Source organism: Homo sapiens, chromosome 5 (assembly GCF_000001405.40).
Source record: "Homo sapiens chromosome 5, GRCh38.p14 Primary Assembly".
Classification (NCBI taxonomy): domain Eukaryota; kingdom Metazoa; phylum Chordata; class Mammalia; order Primates; family Hominidae; genus Homo; species Homo sapiens.
In genome coordinates, this window is record NC_000005.10 from 177,479,636 (window position 1) to 177,498,433 (window position 18,798).

Genomic DNA, 18,798 nt, shown 5'->3' on the forward strand with positions numbered 1-18,798 from the left:
GTTCCTGCCCAGTGCTGTGATGCTGGTGTTCCGGCGTCTCACCTCCTCACTATGCTGGGCCCTGGCCGTCCTCATGCTGGATTTGGCCCACATTTGTTATTTTTCTAATAGGATTAAAAAAAAAATCTAATGTAGTTGCCAATATTCAAACACCAGATCTCACATACAAATCTGAACCTCTGGACGCTGTCGATAAACTGGCAGATCTGGCCGTGCTGCTCGGCGTTCCCAGACGGGCTCCCGGCTACAGTTACCATCCGTCCCTGTGCCCTTCTCGCTTGTATCCATGGGAACCGAGGACGGACGGAGAGGGCTTCACAGTTCAAGAGAAGTGGGAGAGAGCACATTTCCTTGTGGAAGTGAAAGCTACTCTGTGGTTAACATGCCAAGGATGTCCAGGTTGAAAGAAAACCACATCCCATCTGCTTGACCCCTGATGCTCCCTGCGTGGGCCCTGCTCCTGGCTCTCCCTAGGCCTCAGTGACCAGCATTTATGTTGACTGCCCTGAGCCTGTCTCAAATTCATTCCCGAATTGAAGTGGAGGTGAATCCAGACTTGAATCTTCAGCTGTTTCCTGAATGTGTCTCCTAAATGTCCCACAGGTGCCTCGTGATCATTCAACAAACACTTACTGGGCATCCACTATATGCCAGGCACTGACATAAAGTCACTCCGGCAAGGCATCATGAAAATAACACGAGGCTGGGTGCGGTGGCTCATGCCTGTAATCCCAGCACTTTGGGAGGCCGAGGCAGGCAGAAAAAAAAAAAAAACATGAAAATCACACACGAAGCTTTGCACTCATTCTCCAGGATTCCAAGAGAGAACACAGCAGAGACCCTTCTTGTCTCTCTCTCCCTTTTTTTTTTTTTTAAAAAAGAGACAGGGTTTCGCTTTGTTGCTCAGGCTGGAGGGCAGCTTACTGCTGCCTCAACCTCCTGGGCTCAAGTGATCCTCCCACCTCAGCCTCCCAAGTAGCTGAGACCACAAGAATGCACCACTAGGCCCAGCTGAATTTTTTTTTTTTTTTTTTGAGACAGTCTTGCTTTGTTGCCCGGGCTGGAGTGTAGTGGCGCAGTCTTGGCTCACTGCAACCTCTGTCTCCTGGGTTCCAGGGATTCTCCTGCCTCAGCCTTCTGAGTGGCTGGGATTACAGGCATGCACCACCACACCCGGCTAATTTTTGTATTTTTAGTAGAGACGGGGTTTCACCATGTTGGCCAGGCTGGTCTCAAACTACTGACCTCAGGTGATCTGCCCACCTCGGCCTCCCAAAGTGCCAGGATTACAGGTGTGAGCCACCACGCCTGGCCACATATATATATATATATATTTTTTTTTTTTTTTTTTTTTTTTTTTTTGAGACAGAGTCTCACTCTATTCCCCAGGCTGGAGTGCAGTGGCACGATCTCAAGCTCACTGTAACCTCAGCCTCCTGGGTTTAAGCGATTCTCCTGCCTCAGCCTCCCGAGTAGCTGAGATTACAGGCGTGTGCCACCATGCCTGGCTAATTTTTGTATTTTTAGTAGAGACAGGGCTTTATCGTGTTGGCCAGGCTGGTCTGGAACTCCTGACCTCAGGCGATCTGTCTGCCTTGACCTCCCAAAGTGCCGGGATTACAGGCGTGAACCAACGCGCCCAGCCCTGGCCTCTAATGTTTTAATATTTTGTAGAAACTGGGTCTCACCAGGCCGGGCGCAGCGGTTCACACCTGTAATCCCAGCATTTTGGGAGGCTGAGGCGGGCGGATCATGAGGTCAGGAGATCGAGACCATCCTGGCTAACATGGTGAAACCTTGTCTCTACTAACATACAAAAAAATTAGCTGGGCGTGGTGGCGCAAGCCTGTAGTCCCAGCTACTTGGGAGGCTGAGGCAGGGGAATCGCTTGAACCTGGGAGCTGGAGGTTACAGTGAGCTGAGATTGCACCACTGCACTCCAGCCTGGGCGACAGAGCAAGACTCCATCTCAAAAAAACAAAAAACAAAACAAAACAGGGTCTCACCATGTTGCCCAGGCTGGTCCTGAACTCCTAAGCTGGAGCCCTTCTCCAGCCTCAGCCTTCCAAAGTGCTGGGATTAGAGGTGTGAGTCACCGTGCCCAGCCCTTCTCGTCTCTTAAAGGGGACCGGGCCAAGGGCCTGTTGAGAAGACTAACAGATGTGTTGCAGGTCCTCATGCCAGGGACCACTGAAGGACGGGCAGCCATGGCACACTGAGCTGTCCTGGCCTACTTAAGGCTTCTCTTCAGTCTTTCCAGTCCAGGCTTGGGACAGGAGAGATGACAGTCCCTCTAGGGTGGTGCGGGCATCAGTGGGAGGCAGGAAGCCCCAGAGTGACGGCGCCACCACCAAGGTCTACAGTCCTCCAGGTACCGGGCAGAAGTCAGCTTCCCAGAGAGATGCTCGCTGGCAAATGGTACTCAGTGCCAGCCAGTCCTGGGACAGCGCACCCAGCTTCAGGCCTGGATTCTAGTCTGGCTCATGGCTCAATGACAGCGTGACCTTGGTCAAGTCTCCCAATCTTTCTGTGCCTCATCTAGAAAATAAGTGGGCCAGGCATGGTGGCTCACACCTGTAATGCCAGCACTTTGGGGCTAAGGAGGAAGAATTGCTTGAGCCCAGGAGTTTGAAACCAGCCCGGGCAACCTAGGGAGATCCTGTCTCTTAAAAACAAAAAAAATTAAAGTTAAAAAAGAAAAAATGAAATAAGTGATTGCAGACAACGGCGCAAGGTTGCTAGGAGGTTCGCGGGAGACAGCGTGAGCATGTCTGGTATAGGCCAGATGCCTGGCAACGCTCCTGTCCTTCTCTCCATCCCTCATCCCCCGGACCTGCCACTGGGTCCCATCTCTGCCATATTACTCTCTGCCCCTCCCTTGCCTGGCCCCCGCCCCTAGGCCCTGCTGCAACTCCTCCTCCCAGCCTCCCTCCTGCACTCCCTCAGTGTTCTGGGGCCTCTTTTCTGCAATACAACACAAACCTATTTCAAACTCTGCTGTGCCTTGCCCTGCCCTAACCTCAAGAGACAGCCCCAGCTCTACTGCCTGGCACTCGTGGCTTCCCAGGACCTAAGGGCTACCCTCTCCAGCCCTGCCTTCTTCTGTTTGGACGGCAGCTGGCCCCTCCAGGACTTTGCTGTGGCCATTGCTGTTTTCCACACCGTATCTCTGCAGATCCACCCCCAACTACAACTACCCTTCTTTTTTTTTTTTTTTTTTTTTTTTTGAAGCAGGGTCTCGCTCTGCCATCTGCCACCCAGGCTCGCGCGCAGTGGTGTGATCTCAGCTCACTGCAACCTCCACTTCCCAGGTTCAAGTGATTTTCCCGCCTCAGCCTCCTGAGTGGCTGGGATTACAGGCATGCCCCACCACACTCGGCTAATTTTTGTATTTTTACTAGAGACGCTGTTTCACCGTGTTGGCCATGAGGTCTCGAACTCCTGACCTCAAGCGATCTGCCCACCTTGGCCTTCCAAAGTGCTGGGATCACAGGCATGAGCCACCATGCTAACTACCCTTCCTAACTACCCTTCTCTAACCTCCAAGCCAGGCCAGACCAGTGGCTCCCCTCATGTCTGTGGGCACCGGGCCTGGCACATGGGGTCTCGCCTGTACCTCCTCCACTAACCATGAGCCCGCCATGTCTGCATCACGAGGACCACCCAGATGGCCAGCCCAAGAAAACCATCTTACTCTCCACCCTGCCACGTGCCTCAAATTCTGCCCCTCCGGATGCACAGGGGAAGGGCACACAAGACACAGCTGGGTACAGGTTTATTGTGGCACTGGAGGTGAAAGGGGGCTGGTGTGGCCAGCACCGGTGTGCTGTGGTGGTGGAGGGAGTGGGGTGGGAGGATAAGGTGGGTGGGGCAGGGCCCAGGGAGCCCCAGGCTCGGGCCAGGAGCCAGGGTTAAGGCAACCATTGCCAGCCCTACCCAGAAATGCAGGGCCACGACTCCAGGCCCCTCAGGCTAGGGGCCACCGCGGCAGCTGTGGGCAGAAGGGGCTCACACATGAGAGAAGGCATGGCTCTTGCAGAGAGGCCTGTCCTTCTTGGAGTAGAAGGTCTTTCCTTCCAGGTTGATCTGACATATCTAAGGACAGCAAAGGCCCAGTCACATGGGGTTGGGGGCAGCAGGAGAGGCCCCTTCCCAACTTCTCCTGCATCTCCTGGGGAATGAACAGAGGGCCGGTGGGCTTGGGGCTCAGTTCGAGGGGCGGGGCTCTCACCGCACAGACGAAGCAGGTGTCATGCCAGCTGAAGCCCAGGGCCTCCAGGAAGCGGTCCCCAGCGTCGATCTTGAAGTCACAGCCATGGCATTTCGTGCCAAACATCTTCTCATAGTCTGAGAATGGGGGCAGAGAGAAAGAGGACCTGGATTCATGCCTGCCCCATGCACCATCCCTCCTCACCCTCACTGGCCAGTGGGTACCTCGCTCGCAATAGGGCACGCCCTCCTCCATGTAGAAGGCCCTGTTCCGGATGGGCGTCTTGCAGGCAGCACAGGTAAAGCAGTGCACGTGCCAGGTCATCTTCAGGGCGTGCATGATCTCCTGGAAGGAGGTCCCAGTCACTCGGCAGGCTCAGGCCCCTCCTGCCCTGCCCTGGGTCACGGGAACACAGGAGGGCTGGCCGCAAGCCCTGTTCCTTCTCGCGGTAAACACTACATCTAACTGTTCAGGACTCCCACACCTCCATCTCCAACTCCAAGGTCTCTGAGTGGACGACCACTGCGCCTTCAGACTTGCCATGTCCAGCACTCAGTTCCTGATTCCCTCACCCCAAACCTCTCCTCCCACAGCCATCCCCATCACGCGGATGGCAACTCCATTCTCCTGTCTGCTGCAGCCAAACACACCCTCCTCTCACACCCCACACCAGGTCCACCAGGAAATCCAGTGGGGCCCACCCCCAAGGCACATCCAGATTCTGAGTGCTTCTCACAGCCTCCCTGAAGTGAGGTAAGCCATGGCCATCTGGCCCGTGGGACCACATAACAACTGGCCTACAAGCTCCTCTCTCTGATCCCAGCTGCCACAGCGTGCCCCTGCAACCCAAGACAGGCCTTCTCCCCCTGCATGAAACTGTGTACTGCTTCCCATTGCTCCCAGCAAGAGCCAAGCCCCATGCAGAGGCTGGAGGCCAGCAGGTCTGACCTCGTTCCCAACCGTCTCCGCCACTGCTCTCCCTTGCGTTCTCACCTTGCCTCTGCACACTGGCCTCTTGCCTGAAACTGGCACACCAGGCACACTCCTGTCCTGGGCTTGACACCGGCTGTCCCCTCTGCCTGGACTGCTCTGCCCCAGATATCTCTAGGCTCACCCCTCACCCCCTTCAAGTTTCTGCTCGAATGCAGTCTTCTCCATGAGGGCCCACTCTGACCACACCAGCAGCAGCCAGCTGCCTTCCCTGCACCACGCACCCCAGCACTTGTCGCTCTGCTCTTTCCTGTTTTCCGTAACGTGATCTAACATTACTTCCAGGCAACCTACTTATTGCGCTTATTGCTTACAGTCTGCCTCTCCCCTCTTCTTCCAGCCAAAATGTAAGGCCCAGAAGGGCAGGAAGCATCAACTGTTTTGTTAGCTGATCTATCCCCACAGTGCCTGGCCCTTTGTGGGTGAGTCGACTGGCCTCCGCAGGAGGTGGGAAGGGGCAGAGGCACAAGGGGCTGAGCTCTCCCTGGGCTGGGCTGTTCATCCCTAGGACCCTCGGGGCCAGCCGGGGCCAGCCAGGGCCAGCAGTATTCACATCTGGAGCAGGCAGAGGGCAGCATGGGGCCTCGAGGCGGTATGAGGGTCCAAGATGTGTGGGTCTGGCCAGACCTTGACCTTCTCAAGTCTTGGTTTCTTCCCTTGTGAACTGGGAAGCTAATCCCAGCCTTGTGAGGCTGTTATGAGGATGGCCCTGAGTTTAAATCCAGGGATCCCAGATCCAATCCCTGCAAGGGCCAAGTGGGGACTGTGTCACACGGAGGAGGACCTCTTCTTCTGGGAGCAGTACTACTGGTTCATTCAGGAATGCCTGCCTGGCTCAGGCTGAAATCTAGGTGTTAAAGAGAAATCTGCTGGGCGCAGTGGCTCACGTCTGTAATCCCAGTGCTTTGGGAGGCCAAGGTGGGAGGATCGCTCGAGGCCAGGAGTTCGAGACCAGCCTGGGCAACATAGCAAAACCTCATCTCTACAAAAAGATTTAAAAATCTGCTGAGCATGCTGGTGGGCACCTCTAGTCCTAGCTATTTGGGAGGCTGAGGTGGGAGGATCCTCTGAGCCCAGGAGATCAAGGCTGCAGTGAGCAGTGATCATGCCACTGCACTCCAGCCTGGGCAACAGAGCAAGACCCTATCATTATACATAAAGAAATAAAAAGCAGGAGATCTCACTTTCCCTCTGCCTCCCAAGTAGCTGGGACCACAGGTGCATGCCACCACACTTGGCTAATTTTCTAATTTTTTTTTTTTTGTAGAAACAGGGGTCTTGCTATGGTGCCCATGCTGGTCTTGAACTCCTGGGCTCAAGCAATCCTCCCACCTTGGCCTCCCAAAGTGCTGGGATTACAGGCATGAGCCACTGCATCATGCAGGCAAATCTTCTGATTTTTTAAATTGTTTGCTACTGATTTTAAAATGAAACAGTGTGGGCCAAGCAAGACATAAGTGTGGGGGACATGTAGCCTTCGGATGGTGCATTTCTGCCCTCCACAACACCTGTACCCCATCTTACATCTACCTTGCAACCGTGCCGGCCCTAGCATAGTGCCACCCTTCTCTTCAGTGAGGCCCAGAGAGAGCAACTAGCCCCTGCTCACACAGCCAGTAGATCACAGAAATAGGTTTTCTGCCCATGTCTGGCTGGCTCTTCTCACTGTCTGGTGTTGCCTGTTTTAGAGGAGCAGACAAGGTCACAGTGAAGGAACTTGGGCTTTGAGCTGGTGGGAGAGGGGGCTCTACCAGGGGTGTGGGCTGGTAGGGCAGGAGCCCAAGGCTGGGAGGCAGATTTCTCTTTCTTTTTTTCTTTTTGAGACAAGAGTCTCGCTCTGTCGCCCAGGCTGGAGTGCAGTGGCGCGATCTCGGCTCACTGCAAGCTCTGCCTCCCAGGTTCACGCCATTCTCCTGCCTCAGCCTCCCGAGTAGCTGGGACTACTCCACCATGCCCGGCCAATTTTTTTGTATTTTTAGTAGAGATGGGGTTTCACCGTGTTAGCCAGGATGGTCTCAATCTCCTGACCTCGTGATCCGCCCATCTCGGCCTCCCAAAGTGCTGGGATTACAGGTGTGAGCCACCGTGCCTGGCCCTTTTTTTTTTTTTTTTTTTTTTTTTTTTTTTTTTTTGCTGTCTCCCAGGCTGGAAGGCAGTGGCACAATCTTGGCTCACTGCAACCTCCACCTCTCAAGATCAAGCGATTCTCCTGCCTCAGCCTCCCAAGTAGCTGGGACTACAGGTGCGCCAGCACACCCAGCTAATTTTTTTATTTTTAGTAGAGACAGGGTTTCACCATATTGGCCAGGCTGGTCTTGAACTCCTGACCTCAGGTGATCTGCCCACCTCGACCTCCCAAAGTGCTGGGATACAAGCATCAGCCACTGCATCGGCCACTCTCCCATTCTTGCCGACTGATGGAACCCCCAGTTTTGCTGGACACATGGGTGCCCAAAATAAAGACTATATTTCCCAGCCTCCGTTGCCACTGGGTGTGGTCATGTGACTGGGTTCTGACCAACAGGATGAAAGCAGAGGTTCAGGTGGCAGCATCCTCTAAGGATGGACGCCATGGGGCTCTGTCCCCTTTCTTCTCCTTCCGACTTCCTGCTGGCTGGAAGGTGAGCATTTTGGCGGAGGCTGAAGTGTCATCTTGCACCATGAGTGGTAAGTAAGCAGGTGCTGCCAACAGTCAAGCAACAAGGCGGAGCCTGGGTCCACCAGATCAGTCCCAGACCACCCACCCCGGGATGTTTTTAGATGAGAAATAAGCCACCATTATTTTGAGTTTCCCACTGCTCGTGGTCAAGGTAAACCTCACTAATATGAACATCACCACACAGAGCTCTCTGGCTACTCCTGGCAGCCCTGGCTCTGGATCCAGAAATGAGGAGGACGCATGAGACAGAGCAGCTTCAGCGTGTCAAGTTGGCCGTTCTGTCATTTCACCAGGGCAGGGAGAGCCCAAAGTGGGAGTCAGGAGGGCCCAGGGCTTCTCCTGGCTTGGTCCTCCTGCTCTTTGCAGCCTTGGGCGGTTTCTGAGCAGGAACATGGTCATTTGTTAAGAGCATCCTGACTAATGCAGGGTGAGGCCAGTACAGCAGCCCATTTATTACGCTGGTAAGGACCCGGAGGGCTCACTCGGGGAGAGACCTGGACTGTGGGTTTCCCAGCAGCCCTCGTTCCCACTGACAGGCTTGGGACCACCTCCCCGCCAGCCAGCCCTACTCACGCCTGTAATCTTCTTCTTGCACTTGGCACAGCTGGGTGCATAGCGCACGTCATAGCATGGTGGGCAGAAGATGGCGCCCTTCTCCTCAAAGAAGCCACCCTCTTCCAGGACCTTCCCACACTGGCTACACACAAACTCCTCCGGGTGGTACGCGTGGCCCAGCGCCACCAGGTAGCGGCCCCTGCAGGGAGGCGAGAGCGGTCAGAGGGAGCACACGCAGAGAGGTGGGGGTCTTGGCCCCCTTCAGGTTGACTGACCACCCACCAGGAGGCCTTGGGAGGGACAGTTCATTCTCCCCATTTTCCACATAGGATAGAAGACAGGCTTGGGAAGTGACCGTGGCAGCCGTGAAGCTTACAGAGCCAGTCCGCCACACTGAACTGCTGGTGACAGGAGAGGCAGCTTTAGAGCAGGGAGGACCCCGGGAGGAAGGGCTGACGACTGGAGCCTCATAAAAGCTGAGCCGCCCCTGGGCAAACCCTGGAGCTGCCCTGTCCTGCTGGCCTGCCTGTTCTACCTGGCAAGAGCTGATAGAGTCGGCTGGGCACAGTGGCTCACACCTGTAGTCCCAGCACTTTGGGAGGCCAAGGCAGGCCTGAGATCACCTGAGGTGAGGAGTTTGAGACCAGCCTGGCCAACATGGTAAAACCCCGTCTCTACTAAAAATACAAAATTAGCCAGGCATGGTGGCGGGTGCCTGTAATCCCAGCTACTCAGGAGGCTGAGGCAGGAGAATCTCTTGAACCCAGGAGGCAGAGGTTGCAGTGAGCCGAGATCGCGCCACTGCACGCCAACGTGGGCAACACAGTGAGACTCTGTTTCAAAAAAAAAAAAAAAAGAGCTGACAGAGATGAGAGCAGGCCAGGCCTGCGAATTAGGAAGGCTCTAGAATCCGGCACGCTGATGCTGGGGGGTGTTTGATGCTGCTTGGCCCCACGGGGCAGTGCACAGAGGGAGTGGCTCCAGGCCTGTATGCTCTGAGAGCAGAGGGAGACAGAGAGCAGGAGGGAGGGGCAGACGCGCTGGGAGGGGGCAGGCCCCTCTTTGCCCAGAGAGCAGCAAAGGTAGGGGTGCAGCTTCAGCCTATGGTTGGCCCTTCGGCTATTTCGCCACGGCAGATGCTGCTAGCAGTTGTTGTGGGTGGGCTGGGGTAGGTAGCGTGGGATTAAGAATGGGAGGACCCAGCCCAGGTCCCTACTCCTACTCCAGCTGAGAACTGAATCCTTATTCCCCCCAGTCGCAGCTGAGGCAAGACAGGTGGGCAGACAGGTGGGGCTGGGCTGCAGGATGGGAAAGCCAGGGTCGGACAGGAACAGGCCACCCACCGGATGACCTTGTGGCACTGGTGACACACGGGAGTCTTGCCGTTGTTGCTGCCCCCTCCTGGCACCCCTCCGGCAGCTGCCTGCACAATGGAGGTGCGGCTCTGCAGCGGCGTGGGCGTGGCCGGCTGGCTGTGCCGGGTCAGCACTGTGCTCGTTTTGTCCGGGGCATAGCGCTCGGCAAACGCAGGGTCCACAGCCCAGGGCGGGCGGCTGGTAGGGCTGGGGGCGGTAGGGCCTGCCGGGGAAAGTGACTCTAAAGGGGTGCCCAGGGACCCCAAAGGACGGGGGTGGAGCCCCAGGCAGCTGAGAGAAGCCCACCACCCCCATGCCCCTGGAGGCTGCCCACCCTTGCCCAGGCCCGAGCCCACTCCCTCTCACCAGGCCAGGGCTCCTGGGGTGTAGATGAGGCTGGGGCTGGGGCTTCTGTCCTGGGCACCTGGCTGCAAGATCTGCCATTCAAGGCCCTGCATGGCTGAGCTTCCTGACATGGCCCCACCCCCCAACCTGGGTCCTGCTGGCCCCACGGGAGATGACTGGGGGCGTGGAAACTGCCGAGTTGGATTCCAGGTCCCACTGGGGTAGGGATGGGAAGGGCAGCTTCTCCTAGCAATGTCCAGTTAGCTGGTGTGCGGTCTCTAGCTGGGAGACGAGGCAGGGCTCCCGCTTCTGAGGCAGCTCCTGGGGTTCCCCTCATGCCAGGAAGCCATCTGTGATGGCAGGGCAGGGCCCCTTTGCCAGGTACCCCCTCCCACTGAAAACGAGGACGGCAGGGCCCAAACAGTCCGAACCACGAAACACCCCCACACCCCAAATGCAAACCAGGTCCACAAAGATAGAAGACAGGCAGAGCAAGCAGGGCTGAGAATGTTTATTCCATGCCCAAGGCAGCACAGACCTGGCAGACAGCAGTACCACAGGGCAAAGAGGGAAGGCAGTGTCAGATGAACCCAGGTGGGCGGCCAGGGCCAGGCCAGCAGGAGGCTCAGGCCAGGGGCACGAAAGGGGGGGTGAGGTAGGCAGAAGCTGGAGGCACTAAGGGGGTGCCCTGGGCAGGAGGAACAGAAAGAGGGAGGCAGAGAGGGCAGCCGGCTGGAGAGGGCCGGGCTACGACTGCACGTTGAGCACGTGGGCAGAGCGCTGGTGGTGCCAGTCCCGGAGGCGGGTGTAGCGTGGGCTCTGCAGCTCCAGGACATACTTTTCCCTGAGGGGCAGAGAGAGAGGGAGGAAGAAGTGGAAGGAAGGAGAGATGGAAGGGAGGCAGGGAGGGAGGAGGGAAGGAAGGAGGGAGGGAAGAAATGAAAGAAGGAAGGAAGGAGGAAGGGAAGGAAGGAAGGAAGGAAGGAAGGAAGGAAGGAAGGAAGGAAGGAAGGAAGGGAGAATTGAGAGCCCCAGCTGGGAGCCTCAGGAGTAGACACAGGGCAGTAGCTGGAATGGAAGAGGCAGGAGGTGGGAGAGGGGCTGGTGCCCGTCCCTGTACCTTGATTTCTTCAGGTGCTCCTCATCCGGGTCTTGCACTGAGAGGGCAGAGGCAGGCATTGACCAAAAAAGACACAGGGTCAGGGATCACGCCTGGGCTGGGGGCGAGGAAAGTACCCCCTGCCCTGGGCTGGCACTTACTGAACTCGGTGCCTGTGAGGTGGGCAAGGATGCGGAAGGAACGCGACTGGCCTGTCCCCGGCCGCGGCCGCCAGTCCTCTGTGTTCTCCATCAGCCGCTGCTTGCTGGCATCTGGGACCAGCGGTCGGAGCGGCTGTCTGTGGGGAGGGTGTGGCTCAGAACCCCACACTGGGGGTGGGCGGTGGGGGCAGCCCCTCCCAGGATTTGGTGCATGTGGGTTTGGGTTACAGTGATGGGAGGGAGTGGGTAAGGGTGAGGCCAGGAGCCCTGCTGGGCGGGTAGGTGAGAGGACAGGAGGGCGAAGTGGAGAGGAGGGCAGCCAGGGTGGGGAGGGGCCGCCACCCAGAGTGCCAAAAGGAAGAAGAAAGGCACAGGCAGAGGGGGGCTCACTGACTTGTCAGGGGTCTGCACCTGTGAAGGAAATAAGACAGACAGACAGATAAAGGGACAAAGGGACAGACACAGGAGAGGAAGAAAGACGGGGAGGGGTCAGAACAGCCGGGGACAAGGCGGCACTGAGTGTCTGGGGCTCAGCTGGCCCGACACCACAACCCAACCCCCAGCCGCCAGCAGGGGGCGCGGCGTCATTCAGAGACCCCTCCCCAGGGCGGTGCCCTGCAAGGCGCCACAGCCTCGGGAGGGGCCCTGTGCCTGCAGCCCCACCCCGGCCGCCAGGGGGCGCTGCCGCACGGTTCCGCCGGGCTGGGGCGCAGCACAGACTGAGCAGCAGCGGGCAGCGGGCGTGGGGCCACAGTGGGCCTGATGGCGTGGGCGCGGGCGGGCAGGGGCCGACGTACCCATTCTGCTGCGGGGCGCTGTCAGCGGGCGGGGGCGCCCCAAAGGGCCGGGCCGTCTTGTTGAGGGAGACGCTGGGTGCAAAGGTGTACCGCGGAGGGTCCGCGGCGGGGGCGGAGGCCTGGGCAGAGACACAGCCGGGCAGGGCGGGCGGGCAGGGTAAGGTGGGGGCCTGGGTGGAAGTGGGGCGCCTGCAGCAGAGGACAGCGGCAGCTCCAGCCCCCCACCCCCACCCCACCCCCTACATCTATTTGGAGGCTACGGGGAGAGGACGACTCAGGTTTCAAGGGGCCCATTTGGGAGTGGCGATCTCAGTCCACGCAGGACCGAGGGCTGACCGAGTGCGGGCGAGCACGCAGCGCCGGCGGCGGGAGGCAGCAGGCGGACAGACAGGCGGACAGACAGGCGGACATGCGTGGTGCCAGGACCGTGCAGCAGCCCCTGGCTCAACTCCAGGGCCCTAGACCCGCCTTAGCTCCGGTTTCTGCCCTCCACTCCCGGCCAGGGATTGGGGTACCGAGAATGTGCCAGGAGGGCGAGCAGGCCTGGCCGTCCAAGCCCACACCGCCCACCGCCCGGATGTCCCGGCCAGCCTCGTACCTTCTGCGGTTTGCTCTGAACCGGCTGGGCCCTGGAGGAGAAGGAAAGCGTGACAGCGGGCCGGGCCCGCAGGGATCCCCACTGCCAGCGCGGGCGCACCCATCCATGTCCACCCGCATACCTGCTGAGGCCCAGGCTGAGGCGCTCCCCGCAGGCCCGGATCTTGTTCTGAGCTTCGATGTGTGTGAGGCTACCCGCATTCTCGCCATCGATGCTCAGCACCCAGTCACCCACGGCCACTCCGGCCTGCGCCGCTTTGCCCCCAGGAGTGAGCTGTGGAGAGAGAAGCAAAGTGACCGAGGCCCTGGACCCTGCAGACCCAAGCCAGGCTGACGGTGGTAACACTGCCCCACCCAAAGCTGTCCCACTTCCAGAACCCAGAGAGCTCTTCATTCAACATAGTTCTAGGCAGCTGCTGGACACTAAAGCAACCCAGGAGGTGGTGGCGCTCACCTGAGCTTCACAATTTCCCAGTCACACTGCTTATTTATTCACTGCCAGACCCTCTCCCTCAGGTGGTGCTCACCTGAGCTTCCCCAGTCACGATGCTTATCTATTCACCGCCACCACCCTCCCCCACAGTCCAGAAATTGCTATGATGTCCACAAACAGCCACGCTCAGGCTAAAGCCCAAGTGTTTCAGGAGGACCATTGCCTTTTGAGGCTCCTGCTGGCCTCCTGCCCAGGCCACTCCACCTACCAGATATGCCCTCTGGCCCATGCAGGGGGCAGCTTCCTCCCCGAAACCACCGGGGGCTCTTATGGACCTCTCACCCCCCAGCACCCTGTCGGGGGCCATCTATAGGGGTCTGCTGGGACCCTTTGAGAGCCAGGAACAGGCCCTGTTATCTCCCGGTTCCCTGTGAACACTGCCTGAATGGGACCTAAGTTGACAGCTGGGACTTCGTAGGCCATACATGGCTGTCACTCCCAAGCCCTCGACTGCCAATTTCCCCTGACCCCAATCCTTCAGGCTCTTGAGCTGGGAGTCCCTGGTTCCTGTGGCAATGAGTAGAGACAGTAGGCTGGGAGAAATGGCTGCCACCAGCATGAGCTGAGACCATCAGGAATGACTTTGAGGAAGCGGTGGGCCTCGGTAAAGGAGAATGGCGTGTGCTGCCTAGCGGGTGAGAGTTCACTTACGATGGCTTTGAATGCCAGGGGAAGGGACCAGGACTTGGCTTTGAAGGTAGAGGGGCTACTGGCAGTTTTAATGTCTGGGATTGGGTATCTCCCAGGCCCTGAGAGGGTGACCCTGATAAACCCCTTCCAGGCCTCTAGCCCAGCCCCAGCAACACAGGCAGGGCAGCTTGACTGGGTCCAAGCCTAAGGGACCACCCAGCCATCTGGCAAGAGGCCTGGCACTGCATCAAGTAGGCTTTTGTGAGGCAGTGCTGGAAGACAATTTCACTGGGTGGGGGGGATCTGGGGGGGTCCAGGCTGCCAGTGGCCCCAGGAGGCTCCTCAGGTGGGTCAGTGCACAGACTGAGCTGAGGCAGGGAGAGGGGAGGCAAGAGGTTTCAGAGAGATGTCAGAGGGCAGGGCAGCCAGGCACAGAGCTTGACAGCACTGGGAAAAGAAAGGCGAGCTGGGCTCAACATGACCTCTTGCTTGCGTAGGAGGTCAGAAGGCTAAGAGAGCTCGGCGGCCCCTTCCTCACTCGCTAGATAAGAAGACTTGCTTCAGTTTATTGAGCACCAACTATGCTACATATTGACACTGAATCTTCCAACAACCTTGTGGAGTAATCTGGGATTTTACCCATTTTGCACTTGCAAATGTACACAGAGAGGTTAAACAACTTGCCTCAAGTCACCCAGCTAGTAAGAGGCAGAGCCAGGAAGTGTCTCTGACCCTAAGGCTCCACCACTGTGGGCCACCTCTGCTGAGCATGGGGGCCCAACTGAGGGGTCAGCCCACCTGGAGACACCCTGAGCCACTCCCTCACCTTTAGTTCAATCCAACTAAATCAACCCCTTATACTGTGTATGGGGAAGTGACACCCCAGAGGGGAAGTGACTTACTCAAGGTCATGGTGAGTCAGTAGAAGGGAAACCTGGCCCAGCCACTCCCTGCCCACAGGGCTGGCTCCTGGGAGCTGTGGGCTGAGCCCGAGGTGGGGGTCTTGGGGTGCAGCTAGCTGGCTCCTGGAGAGGGGGTGGGGGGCGGGGACGGCTTCCCTTCCCAGAGTGAGGAGGGCAGGAAGCACAGAGGATGAGGGGTGTTCAGAGCGTGGGGAGGGCAGCAGGAGAGCAGAAGACAGCGCTGGGCGGGTGGCTGGAGAGAGGCAGGGAGGGGCTCAAGCCAGGGGCAGGGTAAGGCCAGAGGAACCAAGGAGGGAAAAAGCCAGGGGGCTGGACCCTGCATGAGGTGGGGGTGAGTCAGCCTGAGCAGCCCAGCCCCCCAGTCCCAGACGTTACCTCATCTCCCAGGCCTGGGCCCACAGCCAGCCCTTGCCCCTCCCACCTCCCTCCATTCTGGGGTCAGGGGAGGGGGAGGGGGCTGGCCTAACTCAGAAAAGCCCACCTCACCCACCCATGTGGGCCCAGGTCCAACTCCAGGGCTGGGATCAGCTAGTGGCCCCGCCCACATGCCAGGGATGCTGACCAGGGAGCTGGAGCCCGGAGTGCCCCCAACAGGCCATATCTGAAAGTCATCTCCATCAGGGAAGAAACTGAGGTTCAGGCTCCCCAGACACACTGGGCCAGCACTTTCCCAGGGAGCAGGACGTCAGGTAGGTTTCAGGGCTGTGTGAGGGCTATGTAGTGGGACGTGTGTCATAGGGCAACCACTGCCTCACTACCCTGCTGGCGGGGCAGGTTCCAGGAGAATGCCATCAAAGGACCCCTGAGAAGAGCACTGCTGGCCTGCCCACCCTAACCCCCACGCCCAGCTCCTACAGACAGACTCCAGCTTGAGCCCCTCCTCAGGCCACGACCCTCTGGGCCCCTCCAGGCTGGGCTTGCCTTGGGCTTCCTGACAACAGCTGCCTGCCCACCCGGCGCCTGGGTGGGTCTCTTGGGGCAGGCGGATATAGGGGCAGGAAGTCCCCACCCCCTCCTGACCCCCAGGCCAGTCAGAGATGCCAGCCGACAGGCTGGCCTCACCCACTCTGGGCAGGCAATTTGTTGTGTCTCACAACTGGACCATATAGCTGGAGCTGCAGCCTGGTGACCAGCTGAGAGGCCCACCAGTGGGGTTCAGGGGGCCAGGCCTAGGCCAGCCCTTTTCAGCTCTGCAGACCGCAGCCACTGTTGGCCATCCCAGCGTGGGGCTGCATTCTTGGGCTTATAAGGCAATCCCCCTGCTACAGGGAGGAGCCAGCCTCCAGCTCCACCCACACCAGGGCAGGCTCTTGGAAGCTGAAGTTAAGCCCCTAGAATGGAGCCCTGTCCTACACTTCTGCTTGGGGTCAAAGGCCACCACATCCTGAATGGGAACAGTGGATGTGGGTCCTTACATAGGCTGGGGAGAGACCCCTTCTACCCACAAAAAATGTACGCCATGCTGTGCCTCAATTCCAATCCCTGCTTCACCATGGACTCGATGAGCGAGCCCCGCCACCTCTCCATGAGTTCTTCTCTCATCTGGAAAAACGGGATGAGGATTGCTATTCCCTGGGCGGCAGTGAGGCTGAAGTGAAATCCTATAGTCACAGTGTCCTGCCTGGGGCCTGGCTCCAAGCATTGCCACCTCAAGTTTAGATACCTCCTGAAATGTTAGGCTCCCATCCTGCACAATGAGCCTCCCTCCAGCCCTCAGAGGTGGCCACAGGAGCTTGGGAGAACAGCATCGGGTACAGTGCAGGGCTGGAGAAGCCTGGGTGCTCCCTCCCAGTATCCACCTCATTGGGAGTCCTTGTGGCAGGCAGGTACCACTACATCTCCGGACCTAGACATCTCCTGGCCTGCTGGCCCCTGACCAGCTCCTGTTAGGACTCCCCCCATCACCCTCTGGAGACCTAAGCACCGAAAGACCGCTGGGGGAGCCCCCTCCCCAAACCTAGGCTCACCCGGGAAATGGAGAGGGGCACATTGAAGTCCTTGCCCCCTTGCAGCCGGAAGCCCCAAGGTGCTGGCCCCTCCAGCACTACTTTGAAGGAATCCATGATGCCGGCTCCTGAGAGGAGAGAAGAGAAGGTGAGTGGCCAGCATGGTGGGCGGGCAGGCAGGCAGGCCGGGCCAGCTCAGGATACCAGCCTTGGACAGGGGCCAGGCAGGCACGGGCAGCCCCTGAGCACGCCCAAGCCATAGGAGGCAGGTATTTTGTCAGGCTGGCCTGGGCTGCTGGCTGGCGGACCTCACTTTGGAAAGACAGGAGCAGCCCCCCTCCCCTTGGGACTGGAACGGTGAGGGGTGCCTGAATCCAGGCTTGAGGTTCTTTGCAACCAGGGGTGGGCCGAGGGACTAAACTGGCGCGGCCTCCCCCCAAGCCAGCCTGGAGCCTCGGGCGGCCGGGTGAGTCAGGGGCCGGCTCTCCTCTCCCCCGCCCCCAGGTCCCGGCAGGCAGGCCGCGGCTGGAGCCTGCTCGGACTATATAAGGCGTGTAAGCTGACACTGTGCGGAGAGCCAGCGGAGGGAGCACACGGGGGCTTGGGACGCGAGGGGGGGGGGAGGGGAGGGGAGGGGAGGGGAGGGGAGGGAGGCGGCTGCAGCGGATCCTCCTAGCCATTCCGGGACCAGTCGAGGCTGCTGGGAGCCAGGGCGGGACCCCTGGGTGCTGAAGAAGGGGAAGGCGGGAGTGGGGTGCGGCCCCTGTGGAGACAGATGGGGGCTGGGACCCTCAAGCATAGCTTGGAGGGGGATCCTTCCCCGAGCCCAGTGGGGGGTGGTGCCTCCCACACAGAACTGCTCCCACACCGACGTGACTCAGTTTCCCCTTAGTCCCCCGCCCGGGCCCCATGCATTAGACTGGCCCCGGCCGCAGGAAGCGGCGCAGGCGCCAATCGGCCCCGCCGCAGCCGGCTTAGCGGCAGGAAGGCGGGGGCGGGGGCGGAGGCAGGGGCCAGGGCCAGCGGGAGGAAGCACAGCCTGGACCACGACCCCCAGTGCCCTTTGTGGTCCTCAGCAGGCCCCGGGCGCCCGCCTGGTGCAGCCCAAGACGCCCCGCGCGGTCGTCGATACCTGCTTGGCCCGGCCAGGGCGCTGCTCTGCGTCGGGCTCCAGGGAGCCTCGTTGGGATCGGCCGCCAGTGTTCTGACCCCGCCCCCACAGCCACCCTCCACTTTGAGCGCGCGGACGGGGGCGGGGCACCAGGCCACGCCCTCGTCGCGACCACGCCCACTAGACTTTCTCCGCTGGTGGAAAGCCCCACCCAGCTCTTCCGTCCTGCCCAATCACCAAGTCCCGTCGGGCTTAGAGCTGAGAGGCCTCGCCGACCCGGGCCCTGCAACGGGGCGGAGTCGGGAGGGGGCCGGGGCTGCGGGTCGCCTCCTTAGGGAAGCGCTGCCTCGCCCAGTCCCTCGCACCGCCCGCTGGCGGAGGGAGAGGAAAGCGGACCTTCAAACCAGACCGACCTGGGACATAGTAGTCTCTGAACCTTAGTTTGCTACTCCGAAAAATGGGACGATCATACTCGCCTCGCAGGGCTGCCGCGAGTGTCGGTATCGTAGGCGCAACCCTCGGGGACTGCAGAATCTGTAAATCAGAGGGGCTGGGGGAGACAAGTTGAGGGGGACAGGGGCGTTTAAAGCTAGAGTTGCGCAACGCTCTGCCGAAGGCAGGAAAACAGGGCAGGAGCGGACGCCGGATGTCCCTGCAACCCCGAGCCGACCCGCGCACCGTCGGAAGCGCCGCGTCCCGCTCCACCTTGGCCAGAGCGGACTGCGCCGCCTGGGAGGCGTCCTCAGAGTCCCGGCCCCGCGTTCAGCCCAGGCACTAGGGCCGGCGGCACGGACACTGAGCACATGCGGGTGTCGGGGTGAGGGAAGGGGCGTCCACCCTCCACTCGCTTGGTGGTCCCGGCCCATCACCTCCTCCTAGGACAGAGTCGCTGCAGTTCTCCCCTCTCCATCCACAGTCATCACACCC

At 59.4% G+C, this 18,798-nt stretch overlaps 1 protein-coding gene across 4 annotated transcripts, besides 15 other annotated features; it reads right to left on the minus strand.

Moving 5' to 3' along the window:
* Positions 1–3,758: 3,758 nt before the first annotated feature.
* Positions 3,759–17,969, minus strand: PDLIM7 (PDZ and LIM domain 7). Of its 4 annotated transcripts, none has more exons than NR_103804.2 (13): positions 17,893–17,969; positions 16,782–16,888; positions 12,891–13,042; positions 12,770–12,800; positions 12,172–12,290; positions 11,375–11,511; positions 11,235–11,271; positions 10,136–10,396; positions 9,758–9,992; positions 8,433–8,613; positions 4,435–4,555; positions 4,232–4,347; positions 3,759–4,095 (listed from the first exon to the last, which is right to left on the minus strand). NR_103804.2 is itself a non-coding variant. In NM_203352.3 (13 exons), the coding sequence occupies exons 2-13, from the start codon at positions 16,875–16,877 to the stop codon at positions 4,009–4,011; spliced, it is 1,272 nt and encodes a 423-aa protein (NP_976227.1). In that variant the 5' UTR covers positions 16,878–16,888; positions 17,893–17,969; the 3' UTR covers positions 3,759–4,008. The 4 variants fall into 4 exon arrangements, 3 of the variants coding, with proteins under 3 accessions (NP_976227.1, NP_005442.2, NP_998801.1); NM_203352.3 differs by lacking the exon at positions 12,172–12,290 and adding an exon at positions 11,769–11,785 and having other exon boundaries at positions 10,136–10,197; NM_005451.5 differs by having other exon boundaries at positions 10,136–10,197.
* Positions 4,381–5,096: an enhancer, noted in NCBI's record as "H3K4me1 hESC enhancer chr5:176911017-176911732 (GRCh37/hg19 assembly coordinates)". NCBI's record gives its function as "activates a minimal SCP1, AML or CMV promoter by ChIP-STARR-seq in naive H9 embryonic stem cells {active_cell/tissue: H9 hESC(naive)}" and the evidence as "EXISTENCE:reporter gene assay evidence [ECO:0000049][PMID:30033119]".
* Positions 5,097–5,812: an enhancer, noted in NCBI's record as "H3K4me1 hESC enhancer chr5:176911733-176912448 (GRCh37/hg19 assembly coordinates)". NCBI's record gives its function as "activates a minimal SCP1, AML or CMV promoter by ChIP-STARR-seq in naive and primed H9 embryonic stem cells {active_cell/tissue: H9 hESC(naive and primed)}" and the evidence as "EXISTENCE:reporter gene assay evidence [ECO:0000049][PMID:30033119]".
* Positions 11,139–12,104: an enhancer, noted in NCBI's record as "H3K4me1 hESC enhancer chr5:176917775-176918740 (GRCh37/hg19 assembly coordinates)". NCBI's record gives its function as "activates a minimal SCP1, AML or CMV promoter by ChIP-STARR-seq in naive H9 embryonic stem cells {active_cell/tissue: H9 hESC(naive)}" and the evidence as "EXISTENCE:reporter gene assay evidence [ECO:0000049][PMID:30033119]".
* Positions 11,139–12,167: a biological region, named in NCBI's record as "Sharpr-MPRA regulatory region 15492".
* Positions 11,873–12,167: an enhancer, noted in NCBI's record as "tiled region #15492; K562 Activating DNase unmatched - State 8:EnhW". NCBI's record gives its function as "activates a minimal TATA promoter and a strong SV40 promoter by Sharpr-MPRA in K562 cells {active_cell/tissue: K562}" and the evidence as "EXISTENCE:reporter gene assay evidence [ECO:0000049][PMID:27701403]".
* Positions 11,962–12,061: a silencer, noted in NCBI's record as "silent region_16697". NCBI's record gives its function as "represses an Ori minimal core promoter by ATAC-STARR-seq in GM12878 lymphoblastoid cells {active_cell/tissue: GM12878}" and the evidence as "EXISTENCE:reporter gene assay evidence [ECO:0000049][PMID:35858748]".
* Positions 12,199–12,742: an enhancer, noted in NCBI's record as "H3K27ac-H3K4me1 hESC enhancer chr5:176918835-176919378 (GRCh37/hg19 assembly coordinates)". NCBI's record gives its function as "activates a minimal SCP1, AML or CMV promoter by ChIP-STARR-seq in primed H9 embryonic stem cells {active_cell/tissue: H9 hESC(primed)}" and the evidence as "EXISTENCE:reporter gene assay evidence [ECO:0000049][PMID:30033119]".
* Positions 12,743–13,284: an enhancer, noted in NCBI's record as "H3K27ac-H3K4me1 hESC enhancer chr5:176919379-176919920 (GRCh37/hg19 assembly coordinates)". NCBI's record gives its function as "activates a minimal SCP1, AML or CMV promoter by ChIP-STARR-seq in naive H9 embryonic stem cells {active_cell/tissue: H9 hESC(naive)}" and the evidence as "EXISTENCE:reporter gene assay evidence [ECO:0000049][PMID:30033119]".
* Positions 15,077–15,226: a silencer, noted in NCBI's record as "silent region_16698". NCBI's record gives its function as "represses an Ori minimal core promoter by ATAC-STARR-seq in GM12878 lymphoblastoid cells {active_cell/tissue: GM12878}" and the evidence as "EXISTENCE:reporter gene assay evidence [ECO:0000049][PMID:35858748]".
* Positions 15,077–15,467: a biological region, named in NCBI's record as "Sharpr-MPRA regulatory region 583".
* Positions 15,173–15,467: a silencer, noted in NCBI's record as "tiled region #583; HepG2 Repressive non-DNase unmatched - State 12:CtcfO, and K562 Repressive non-DNase unmatched - State 5:Enh". NCBI's record gives its function as "represses a minimal TATA promoter and a strong SV40 promoter by Sharpr-MPRA in HepG2 and K562 cells {active_cell/tissue: HepG2 | K562}" and the evidence as "EXISTENCE:reporter gene assay evidence [ECO:0000049][PMID:27701403]".
* Positions 16,621–17,362: an enhancer, noted in NCBI's record as "NANOG-H3K27ac-H3K4me1 hESC enhancer chr5:176923257-176923998 (GRCh37/hg19 assembly coordinates)". NCBI's record gives its function as "activates a minimal SCP1, AML or CMV promoter by ChIP-STARR-seq in naive and primed H9 embryonic stem cells {active_cell/tissue: H9 hESC(naive and primed)}" and the evidence as "EXISTENCE:reporter gene assay evidence [ECO:0000049][PMID:30033119]".
* Positions 17,165–17,244: a silencer, noted in NCBI's record as "silent region_16699". NCBI's record gives its function as "represses an Ori minimal core promoter by ATAC-STARR-seq in GM12878 lymphoblastoid cells {active_cell/tissue: GM12878}" and the evidence as "EXISTENCE:reporter gene assay evidence [ECO:0000049][PMID:35858748]".
* Positions 17,655–18,364: a silencer, noted in NCBI's record as "silent region_16700". NCBI's record gives its function as "represses an Ori minimal core promoter by ATAC-STARR-seq in GM12878 lymphoblastoid cells {active_cell/tissue: GM12878}" and the evidence as "EXISTENCE:reporter gene assay evidence [ECO:0000049][PMID:35858748]".
* Positions 18,575–18,624: an enhancer, noted in NCBI's record as "active region_23720". NCBI's record gives its function as "activates an Ori minimal core promoter by ATAC-STARR-seq in GM12878 lymphoblastoid cells {active_cell/tissue: GM12878}" and the evidence as "EXISTENCE:reporter gene assay evidence [ECO:0000049][PMID:35858748]".

Bases quoted from the DNA above. Each gene is read 5' to 3' on its own strand.
- PDLIM7 (NM_005451.5), bottom strand. From the start codon at position 16,877: ATGGATTCCTTCAAAGTAGTGCTGGAGGGGCCAGCACCTTGGGGCTTC. The intron at 13,043-16,781 runs GTGAGCCTAGGT...CTCTCTCCACAG, and splicing joins TGCCCCTCTCCATTTCCCGG to CTCACTCCTGGGGGCAAAGC. The intron at 12,801-12,890 runs GTATGCGGGTGG...CTTCTCCTCCAG, and splicing joins CTCAGCCTGGGCCTCAGCAG to GGCCCAGCCGGTTCAGAGCA.